Source organism: Homo sapiens, chromosome 8 (genome assembly GCF_000001405.40).
Source record: "Homo sapiens chromosome 8, GRCh38.p14 Primary Assembly".
Classification (NCBI taxonomy): domain Eukaryota; kingdom Metazoa; phylum Chordata; class Mammalia; order Primates; family Hominidae; genus Homo; species Homo sapiens.
In genome coordinates this window covers 99,035,502-99,048,243 of record NC_000008.11, presented here as the reverse complement: position 1 = coordinate 99,048,243, position 12,742 = coordinate 99,035,502, and the positions used below count along the sequence as shown (strand labels likewise).

Genomic DNA, 12,742 nt, shown 5'->3' with positions numbered 1-12,742 from the left:
AAATTTAAGAAAATTGAAATTATATCAAGCACTCTCTCAGACCACAGTGGAATAAAACTGGAAATCAACTCCAAAAGGAACCTTCAAAACCATGCAAATACATGCAAATTAAGTAAACTGTTTCTGAGTGATCATTGGGTCAACAATAATATCAATATGGAAATTAAAAATTTCTTCGAACTGAATGACAATTGTGACACGACCTATCAAAACCTCTGGGATACAGCTCAGGTGGTGCTAAGAGGAAAGTTCATAGAGCAGAGCACAGTGGCTCACACCTGTAATCCCAGCACTTTGGGATGCCAAGGTGGGTGGATACACTGAGGTCAGGAGTTCAAGACCAGCCTGGCAAAAATGATGAAACCACGTCTCTACTAAAAATACAAAAATTAGTCATGCATGGTGGCAGGTGCCTGTAGTCCCAGCTACTTGGGAGGGTGAGGCACAAAAACTGCTTGAACCCCACAGGAGCAGGTTGCAGTGAGCCAAGATCGCACCACTGCACTCCAACCTGGGTGACAAAGCAAGACTTCATCTCAAAAATAAAAAAAAGAAAAGGAAAGAAAGAAAGTTCATAGCCCTAAATGCCTACCTCAAAAAGTCTGAAAGAACACAACCAGATGATCTAAAGTCACACCTCAAGGAGCTAGAGAACGAGAACAAACCAAACCCAAAGCCAGCAGAAGAAAGGAAATAACCAAGATCAGTGCAGAAATAAATTAAACTGAAACAAAAAACAATACAAAAGATAAATGAAACAAAAAGCTGGTTCTTTAAAAAGGTAGGTAAAACAGATAGACCATTAGCAACATTAACCAAAAAAGAAGAGAGAAAATCCAAATAAGCTCAATTAGAAACGAAACGGGAAATATTACAACGGACAAGACAGAAATACAAAGGATCATTGAAAGCTACTGTGAACACCTTTACATGCACAAACTAGAAAACCTAGAGGAGATGGATAAATCCCTGAAAAGATAAAACCTTCCTAGCTTAAATCAGGAAGAATTTGATACCCTGGACAGACCAGTAACAAGCAGCAAGACTGAAATAGTAATAAAAAAAATTACCAACAAAAAAAAGTCCAGGACCATATGCATTCACAGCTAAATTCTACCAGACATTCAAAGGGGGATTGGTACCAATCCTATTGACAGTATTCCACATGATAGAGAAAGAGGGAATCCTCCCTAAATCATTCTATGAAACCGATATCACCCTAATACCAAAACCAGGAAAGGACATAACAAAAAAGAAAACTACATGCCAATATCCCTGATGAACATAGATGCTAAAATCCTTAACAAAATACTAGCTAACTGAATCCAACAATATATCAAAAAGATAATCCACCCATGATCAAGTGGGTTTCATACCAGAGATGCAGGGATGGTTTAACACACACGAGTCAATAAATGTGCTAAACCACATAAACAGAATTTAAACAAAAATTAGACACAGAAAAAGCATTCAAAAAAAATATGGCATCCTTTTATGATTAAAACTCTCAGGAAAATTGGCATACAAGTAACATACCTCAATGTAATAAATGCCATCTATGACAAACCCACAGCCAACGTAATACTAAATGGGGAAAAGTTGAAAGCATTCTTTTAGGGAAGACAAGACAAGGAGGCCCACTCTTACCACTCCTCTTAAACAGTACTGGAAGTCCTACCCAGAGCAATCAGATAAGAGAAAGAAATAAAGGGCATCCAAATCGGCCAAGAGGAAGTCAAACTGTCACTGTTTGTTGATGATATCATTGTTTACCTAGAAAACCCTATCAAGACTCCTCCAAAAACCTCCTAGAACTGATAAAAAAAAAAATTCAACAAAGTTTATGGATACAAAATTAATGTACACAAATCAGTAGCTCTTCTATATACCAACAGCAACCAAGCTGAGAATCAAATCAAGAACTCAACCCCTTTTACATTAGCTGCAAAAATAAAATAAAATACTTAGGAATATACCTAACCAAGGAGGTGAAAGACCTCTACAAGGAAAACTACAAACACTGCTGGAAGAAATCATAGATGACACAAATGGAAACACATCTCATGCTCATGGATGGGTAGAATCAATATTGTGAAAATGACCATACTGCCAAAAGCAATCTACAAATTCAATACAATTCCCATAAAAATGCCACCATCATCCTTCACAGAACTAGAAAAAAATCCTAAAATTCGTAGGAAACCAAAAAATGAGTCTGCCTAGCCAAAGCAAGACTAAGCAAAAAGAAAAAATCTGGAGGTATCACATTACCTGATTTCAAGCAATATGATAAGGCCATAGTCACCAAAACAGCATGGTACTGGTATAAAAATAGGCACATAGACCAATGAAACAGAATAGAGAACCCAGAAATAAGCCCAAATACTTACAGCCAACTGATCTTTGACAAAGCAAACAAACACATAAAGTGGGGAAAGGACACCCTATCCAACAAATGGTGCTGGGATAATTGGCAAGCCACATGTAGGAGAATGAAACTGGATCCTTATCTCTCACCTTATACAAAAATCAACTCAAGATGGATCAAGGACTTAAATCTAAGACCTGAAACTATAAAAATTCTAGAAGATAACACCAGAAAAGCCCTCTAGACATTGGCTTAGGCGAGGATTTTATGACCAAGACCCCAAAAGCAAATGCAATAAAAACAAATAGCTGGGACTTAATTAAACTAAAGAGCTTTTGCACGGCAAAAGGAACAGTCAGCAGAGTAAACAGACAATCCACAGAGTCGGAGAAAATCTTCACAATCTATACATCTGACAACGGACTAATATCCAGAATCTACAACGAACACAAGCAAATTAGCAAGAAAAAAAAAACAATCCCATCAGAAAGTGGGCTAAGGACATGAACAGACAATTCTCAGAAGAAGATACACAAATGGCCAACAAACATATGAAAAAATGTTCACATCACTAATAATCAGGGAAACGCAAATCAAAACTACAATGTGATACCAACTTACTCCTGCAAGAATAGCCATAATCAAAACATCAAAAAATAATAGATATTGGCATGGCTCCAGTAAACCAGGAACACTTCTACACTGCTGGTGGGAATGTAAACTAGTACAACCACTATAGAAAATGGTGTGGAGATTCCTTAAAGAACTAAACAGAACTACCGTTTGATCCAGCAATCCCACTACTGGGTATCTACGCAGTGGAAAAGAAGTCATTATACAAAAAAGATACTTGCACACATGGGTTTAAAGCACACACATGTTTATAGCAAAACAATTCACAATTGCAAAAATGTGGAACCAACCTAAATGCCTGTCAATCGACGAGCGGATAAAGAAACCGTGGGGGCGGGGGGTGGTGTGTGTGTGTGTGTGTGTGTGTGTGTGTGTGTGTGTGTGTGTGTATAAAATGGAATACTACTCAGCAATAAAAAAGAATGAATTAATGGCATTTGTAGTGACCTGGAGGAGATTGGAGACTATCATTCTAAGTGAAGTAACTCAGGAATAGAAAACCAAATATCATATGTCCTCACTGATATGTGGAAGCTAAGCTATGAGGATGCAAAGGAATAAGAATGACACAATGGACTTTGGGGACTTGGGGGAAAGAGGTAAGGGATAAAAGACACAAATTCGGTACAGCGTATACTGCTTGTGTGATGGGAGCACCAAAATCTAACGAATTACCACTAGAGAATTTACTCATGTAACCAAACACCACCTGTTCCCCAATAACCTATAGAAATAAAAAAATTTAAAAGATAAATAAACAAAAATAAAATGGTTGATTGTATGTTATGTGAATTTCGTTTCAATTAAAAAAACACACACACACACACAAACATTGACTTATTTTAAAAAAGAAAAAAAGAGGCCGGGCGCGGTGGCTCAAGCCTGTAATCTCAGCACTTTCGGAGGCTGAGGTGGGCGGATCACAAGGTCAGGAGATAGAGACCATCCTGGCTAACATGGTGAAACCCCGTCTCTACTAAAAATACAAAAAATTAGCTGGTTGAGGTGGTGGGCGCCTGTAGCCCCAGCTACCCCAGAGGCTGAGGCAGGAGAATGGCGTGAACCCGGGAGGCAGAGCTTGCAGTGAGCCGAGATCGCGCCCCTGCACTCCAGCCTGGGCAACAGAGCAGACTCCGTCTCAAAAAAAAAAAAAAAAAAGAAAGAAAGAAAAAAAAAAAGAAATGATGTGGTTATAAAGAAAAGAAAAGAAGCTAGAGAGGGAAACATGGTTGCAGGAAAGTATTTCCCCAAAATGTAGCAGAGAAATAAGCACTTTAAATGATAGCAAAGTGCCAATAAATCAAATGAGAGATTGAAGTGAAGGAATACTGTTAAAGTGAGATACTTAAGATACAGAGACAGGATCCACAATAAAGAGAATGCTTCAAGGAACAGCAAACTCCACAACATAACCATAAAGGGATTGGCTGAAATGGAACAGAAATAAGGATGACAGAGTTAAAAATCAAGGAATTGTGTTGCTAGAGAGTTATGTAAGAATCCATATGGACACTGAAATGACCCAAGATGGATGAACTTCAATTGGAAAAAAAAAAGTCTGTGAACCAGGTAACAAAATTTTCAGTCACAGTGGGGGAGGGACCACAAAATCAATGGATGATAGCTATCAGAGGACCACAAATGATTATATAGTCAGGTCACATGAGCTTCAAAAAAATAAGAGATATTTGTGAGTGTGTGTAGAAGAGTAATGGTCTAGAGTCAGTCCAATTAGAAGGCCATTTATTATAACATTCAAGCAATGACCTCACCAATAACAGTGACGATAAACACAGACTTCAGCCAAGCTAAGAGAGAGGTGATACCTCTCTTGTAGGCCTCCTAATCTCAAATTCTAACTAATTGATTTTTAAAATCAATTAATAGAGACTGATTATTAATAGTCTACCAAAACAACTGTACTAATTCATAATAATCCACACTTAAAATTCCAATGATCACATGTAAAATTTCTACAAGTAAATCCATCAAATCCCTGATGGTAAACAGAGCACATTGATGGCCAGATCAAATGACCATCCAGTAAATAAAAAATCCTATCTAAATGTAAACAAAATTAAAAAAAACAAAAAACAAAAAAAAACTTCGTCCTGTGAAAGTATGGAAATTCTCTAGATCCCAGAAAAGTTCTGCTAGATAGAGCAGATAGGTGCTGGTGTCCAATCAAAGAAAGCTTTATTTCCCTGCTCTACAGTGGAAAAAATAATTCTGAAGCCCTTCATCAGAATTAGACATTCAAATCAAAACAGCTGCCTCAGATCTTTAAGTCTAATTACACTGACACAGACTTTGTAGAAAAACAAAAATAAAGTACAAGATGAAACTATAAAAAGAGTTGACATAAAATGCCACAGTCAAGAGTAATAACATATCACTTTTTGATCAGGTCACCTAAATCTATGGGCTGTCAGGACCAAAATTTTTTTCTTATTAATACTGGAAATCAGTGGCTCTTGATTGTAATTCCAGCAATTTGGGAGGCCAAGGCAGGAGGGTCACTTGAGGCCAGGAGTTCGAGACCAGCCTGGGCAACACAGCAAGACGCAGTATCAAAAACAGAAACAAAACAAACAAAAAGTGGCTTACTGGTATCTGACTTAAAATGTTTAAGAAAGGAATCCGTGCTTATGGGAAACAGAAAACTATCTCTGAATTTAAAATACTACATATACAAATATTTTCACTTTCTTGTTTAAAATCTAGCTAAACCTGTAGGTACATGAGATAAAAGGATAAAATCACCTTAGGTTTTCAAACAGAATATTTTTGTAATCTTAAAGAGCCATATCAACAATTAGAAGGTTATGACAGTAAAGAAATAAAATTAAACTTGCAAAAATGATTTTAAAGAAAATTAAGCTAAAAAGGAGAAAGGTGGTAAAAGGTTAATGACAGTAAAGAAATAAAATGAAACTTGCAAAAATGATTTTAAAAGAAGTTAAGCTAAAAAGGAGAAAGATGGTAAGAATATATACATAAAAATAAGTTTAATCTGGAGTGAAACTACAAGTATTTCTCCTATTAGAAGATAATCTCAGATTTTTAGGTTCAAAAGATGATTTTCAAATTTTTTTTTTTTTTGAGATGGAGTTTCACTCTTGTTGCCCAGGCTGGAGTGCAATGGCGCGGCCTCTGCACACCACAACCTCCGCCTCCTGGGTTCAAGCAATTCTCCTGCCTCAGCCTCCCACTTTTCAAATTTTTTAAGAAAAATAAGTATTACTTCTATAAACAGCCTTACAAATAGTTACATTTATTAGATGAAAAGATTTAACATTTATGTTCCAGGTGGTACAAAAACCAGAATAGGTGGTTTAGAAACAGATTTATTACTCTCTTTAGGTTGAAGAAGTTTTTTTTTTTTTTTTGGAGACAGAGTCTCGCTCTGTCGCCCAGGCTGGAGTGCAGTGGCACAATCTCGGATCACTGCAAACTCCACCTCGCGGGTTCATGCCATTCTCCTGCCTCAGCCTCCCGAGTAGCTGGGACTACAGGCGCCGGCCACCACGCCCAGCTAATTTTTTGTATTTTTAGTAAGGACGGGTTTTCACCCTGTTAGCCAGGGTGGTCTCTATCTCCTGACCTCGTGATCCACCCGCCTCGGCCTCCCAAAGTGCTGGGATTACAGGCGTGAGCCACCATGCCCAGCCAAGACTTAATTCAATGATCAAAGAAAGCACATCAATCATATAATTTTTTAAATTGTATAGCAAGTCTTGTCCTGTTTTACAGATGAGGCCCCTAGAGGCTGAACAAAAAAGAATATGAAAAAGGAGAGGAGCACATAGTTAAATGGAAGTTACTGATAATGTTTTAGCTCTTGAGTTATGTTAACAAGTATTTATTAGATTAGCATGGACATGATGTGTCATGAATCAAAAACTGTGTATCTGAAATCAAAAACAGGATAAACAGTTTACAAGTAGTAACTCTGCAAGATTTAAAAGTGAGGGCAATGACTGACATAGATACATCTCTCAGAGTGAATAGGAAATCATTAACAACTATTTCATGAGTGAAGTTTCAATATATTTTTTAAAATTCAGAGTAAACATCAAGATGGACTTTATTTTACCTAACACAACAATTCGGTCACCCTGTCATCCTAAAAATCTCTATAAGTAAAACTGATTGTAAGGATATGTTAAGGCAGTATATTAAAACCATGACCACTAGAATCACAATCATTATGAATCTCTTTTTCTAAGTGTCTTTTGCTGAGATTATATAAATATTTTAGCAATGCTTTTCAGTGCAGTACAGAGTAGACAACCAACAAATGTTGGTAGAATTAAATTGACCTTCACAAACAAGACATGCCTTCTTATCAAGGCATTTAACAAAATCTTATTTTTGGAATGATCTTATCTGATTTAAGCCTCATATTCCTACCTTTTAATCATACTTCAATACATTCCTATGCATAATAGTTTTTTTTAACAGATTCATATCTTTGAGTACCTGTAACTCTAAAAGGCCCCTTCACTGAACCTACCATTCCAACCACAATTTTATTTAGAAAATACGTCTTTTCTTCGTGGTGATTCTACAATGTAATAACTTGAAATACTTTGAATATAAACTAATTCAGTTTTACTAGTACCTGCTTAATTACATACTATACTAATCAAAGCTTAAAACAGGAAAATAAACTATTTTAAAATCTGTTTCATCTACAATGTTTTTACGCAAAATTTAATTCCAATCACTAGCATAAACCCAAGCATTACTCTCCAGAGGTGTACACTGCTAAATAATTTGTCCAAATGTCAACTGCAATTTTCAAAAATCCTTTCTAACCCAAAATTTTAAACATCTGTAAAAAATACTTGTTTTGAGAGTGGTTTACATTCATGACATTTAACCTTTTGCTGTACAAACCACAAAATTCAAGTCCCAAATACCATGCAAGCAGGAAATCTGATCATTCCTGCAGTAGCCATCTGCATAGTCCAATATCAAGTATTAGTTCTAGGTTGCACTAAGTCATGTGTTACAAGTCTTTTTCTGCAGCCTCTATAATTAGTTGTAATTTGCCTCTGTTAAAACATGTTTCTTAAGGGACATCTGGCCTTGAAACTTCTACCTTCTCAATGAAAAAAGTACTTAAGTGTCTGGATTTTTTTTTTCTCTTTTAATATGGAACACTGCATGGGTGGTATAACCAAGTCCAGACTTTGAAAAAAAATAAATTCCAAGAAAAGATAATAATTAAGAACCACTTAACATTTAAGTATTACCAACTATAAATGGAAAGTAAAACTTTGTTGTAATGTAACTATCCACAGATTTCTAAATTAATCTCTCAAATATTAGAAGTTCACAAAGTAACTTTTCATTTTCATGAGAATATAACATTGGTCTATTAACTTCTAGAAACTATATTAAGTTAAATTGGATAATACGTGTTTGGAATCAAAGATTTCATAAATGGAAAAAAGATCTGAGTCCACTGGGTTGATATGGCACTCAAAGCATCCACTTAAAATAGGAAATAATTTTAACAGTTCATACATAACCCTAACTTCACAAAGATTAAAGTTACATTTAGAATACGTTAAACTTACAGATTCATATGAAGTCATTTTAATAATACTTATCAATTTACTTGATTATAGCCAATCTTCCTTAAAACTAAAAGTTAAATATTAAGTGGGTGCTAAAAAAAAAAAAAAACCTAATAAAAATGAATGACAGACACACTACTCTTCTGCAAGGTGAAAGTGGAAACATTCTCCACAATAAGCTATGGTCCTGACCTATTTTGCTTTCCTAGATTGGAAAATTTTTGGTAGAAACTCTTTAAAACCAATATTACATCTGCAAAAAAACACTAGCAAGAAATGTAAGATGGGTCAGAGAAGAAATAAATAAATCTGAAAAAAGAAAAAATCAGTTTCTTATACCAAAACTTCAAAAACAATTATAAAATTTGGTGTAAATATATTTTCATCTTCCCAAAAAATAACCTGAGAAATTCCCTTCAGATTTAGAAAAATTATGTAAAGAAAAAATACATACAGGTCCTTTGCAAAAATCTAAAAATGTTAATGTAAAAATCGGACACAATTAGGCTGCACTTTCATTGTAGATGTAAGTAATAAGCAATCTGCATGGTCCCTAGTAGAGCTATGACAAAGTAAAATCTGTATGAAAACAACCTTTACATACTTTATTCAAATTTAAAAATGACTTTGCAAATAGTCATGTCACTTAAACAGGCATATACAAATTAAAGGCCAGGCACAGTGGCTCATGCCTATAATCCCAGTACTTTGGGAGGCCAAGGTGGGCAGATCACGAGGTCAAGAGATCAAGACCATCCTGGCCAACATAGTGAAACCCCTTCTCTACTAAAAATATAAAAATTAGCTGGGCGTGGTGGCGCACACCTGTAGTCCCAGCTACTCAGGAGGCTGAGGCAGGAAAATCACTTGAACCCAGGAGGAGGAGGTTGCAGTGAGCCGAGATCGCACCACTGCACTCCAGCCTGGCAACAGAGCAAGACTCTATCTCAAAAAAAAAAAAAAAAAAAAAAAAAAGTATATAAGCTAAGATATGTTTATGTAACAGTTGGCATATTTGAAAAGGTAAAGAAATGTCAAATACTACTAAAATTAGTTAACATAAACAACTTGGTTCAATAATTTCTTACCTGTATCCCATCCTTAAGTTTCAAAATGCATTCCATAGTATTGATGGTAATTACCACTGGTTCTGAACCCAGTTTTGTCCATGGTACATGAATCCTCAATTCATGAATATGTCCACTTAAAAAAGTGAATGGTAATTTCAGTTCCTTAAAACACAAAACATTACATAAAAATTAGTAAGTGCTTAATATTTTTTATTATAATATGCAAATTTCTTTTTTAAAAAATAAAATTTCCAACACAAGAATATTCAGAGACTTATTGTTTAGTGCTTAATATTTTTCATTCTAATATACAAATTCCTTTCTTAAAAGAGAAATAAAATGTCCAACACAAAAATATTTTCAGAATTACTGTTTATCAAAAAGTAGCATCAAATACCTTGTTAGGCCATAGTTAATGATAAATAACAATAATTTATGGTACAAGTTACATTTAATAAGTTCCTTAAGCACTCTAGGCCTGTCTCCTACTTTGCTGAATGGAAATAATATATAATACTCAGTACATGATGAAGGCTGATATATGATAGTGCAACAGTATATAGCAGCAGTACTTCAAATAACTGAAATGATGTAATTTTTTAAGTCTCCATCTAAAAATATGTCTTCAAAATATATTTTAAACTAATAGAACAGTATTCTAAGTCAAGTTGAAAGGGGAGCTCAATTGGAGATTTGAAAATAACCTGACAAAATGAAAACTGATCAACTTAAAAAAAAAAAAAAAAAGTATTCCACTTCACCTAATGTAAAATTGAACTGGATACTACTTGGTCATAAATTTTAAATGTTTTCTGACTGCTTTTCATTATCATTAGATAAAAGGTTAGGCATGAAAAATGTCACCAAAATTGCTTTATGCTCATTTGTCTCACTTCTAGATATAATTTGTTTACAAATCAACAAAGGAGGAAGAAAAAAATGTATTTCTATCACATTTTTAGTTATTGTAACTCTATTTGTGAAAGTTAATAAAAATATTAAGCTTATTCATTCACATTTTAGTCTACCTAGTTGGTTCAGCAACACAGTAACAATATGCCTAAATACAGACAGTATAGCAAAGTGATTAAGACCAATAACTCTGCAGCCAGCAGACAGTTTATTGTATCTGTGCCTCAGTTTCATTATCTGTAAAATTTGTATAAAAAGACTACATTTTGAATATTATATTAATCTATATAAAGCTTAGAATACTACCTTCCTCACAGAGAAATCATTATAAAGGTGCTTATTATTATTATTATTATTACAAAAGTGTGGGCCTAATTTGTTTCTTCAACCAGAGGGTTTTTTTTTAAAGGTCAGCTATTAAGTCTATTGTTAGTACTCTATGCTAATGGAATGTTACAATTTTTAGATATTTGTCATTATCACAGTATTTTTAAAATGCATTAATTTCTTCAAGCATTGTTCAGCTAGCACAAGATTATATATTGATCAGTGCCTGTAACAAAAGCAATAAGCACTGAGTATGTACCAGGCGCTATTCTAAGCACCTTACTCGTATACAATCATTTACTCCTCCTAAGAATCACAAAATGTAAATAGCATTATCCCCATTTTACAATGAAGAATCTGAGACATGAAGGGTCAGGAATCTTCCCAAAACGAGTCATCTAGGAGAGCCTGGACTCAAAATTAAGAAATATTATTCCACAGCCATGGCAATTAACCACTATAATACTGCCTCTATACTTCCATTATCAGCACTGAAAATGTTTCCACTGGCTATTTATCTATCTAACTGGACAATGAGCACATTACAATTCCACCTCTACCACCCTACGCCTTGTGTAACAATGATATATTTGCAAAATGGCTACCAAAGTTGCAGTCTAAGGGCATAAATCAGATTGTCTCAGAGTTCTCAGAGTACAAATGTTTAAAGACACCTGAATCAAACTCAAGAACTTAGTATCATCAGAATGCTACTAACCAAACAGTAACACAAGAGGTGGCTTTCTGGATTAGAACATGGAATTTTGAGCCATATGATCTGACTATAAGCAAGATAGTTTCAATTTCAAAATCACAGAGGAAGGAAAAATAAACAACATACATATATAGTAAAAGGTGAAACACAAATGATGATTGTTATAACAAATGGATCTTCCTTAAGATAACCAAAAAAGGAATTTTCTTTTCATTCTTTTCCCTTCTTGAAATATATGTCTACAACTTAAAAATACTTTATTTATGTATAACTTTTAGTTAATACATCATGTAAAATGCATCCCTAAAATCAGAACATCTATGATAATGCAAAGGATATTAGTAGCAAAGAATTTCAGAACAGAGTTGAATATATCTCAAAAATCTAATTCTAGGTAAGGTATTATAAAATAACAGAGAAAAGGGATACTTTTAAAATGAACATAACAGGCAACAAAAGCAAAAATAGAAAAATGAGACATCAAATTTTAAAACTTCTGCACAACAAAGGAAAAAGAGTAAAAAAGACAACCTATGAAATGGACAAAAATATTTGCAAACCATCTATCTGATAAGGTACTAATATCTAGAATATATAAACAAGTCCTATGACTAATCAACAACAAAATAACAATAATTCTATTTTAAAATGGACAAAGGAATTGAAGCCATGTCCACAAAAAAGATATACAAATGGCCAATAAGTATATGAAAAGAAGCTCAGCATAACTACTCATTAGGGAAATACAAATAAAAAAACCACAATGAGATATCTCTCAGCCATAACAATGGCCATTATCAAAAACATAGTAAGTGTTGAGAAAATGGAATACTTATACACTCTTAGTGGAAACATAAAATGGTACAACTGCTACAGAACATAATATGGAGGTTCCTCAACAAATCAAAAACAGAATTACAATGATCCAGAAACCCCAATTCTGGGTATATACCCAAAATAATTTAAAAGAAAATCTTAAGGAGATATTCACACACCCATGTTCAAAGCAGCATTAATCACAATAGCTGTAAAGTAAAAGCAACTCTAATACTCATTTTAGGATGAATGGATAAGCAAAATGTAATACACACATACAATGGGATATTATTCAGCCTTAAAAAAATAAGCC

General features: G+C 34.3%; 1 protein-coding gene across 5 annotated transcripts in view; it reads right to left on the bottom strand.

The window, feature by feature from the left end:
- VPS13B (vacuolar protein sorting 13 homolog B) overlaps nucleotides 1-12,742 on the bottom strand; it is an 864,307-nt gene that overhangs the window by 829,337 nt on the left and 22,228 nt on the right. For all 5 annotated transcript variants that reach the window (NR_047582.2, NM_152564.5, NM_017890.5 and 2 more), the window contains exon 3: nucleotides 9,678-9,821. Coding sequence is in view for 4 of the 5 variants with exons in the window: in NM_152564.5 (NP_689777.3) it covers nucleotides 9,678-9,821 (144 nt within the window). In the remaining variant the exon portion in view is untranslated. The remainder of the gene's footprint in view (nucleotides 1-9,677; nucleotides 9,822-12,742) is intronic.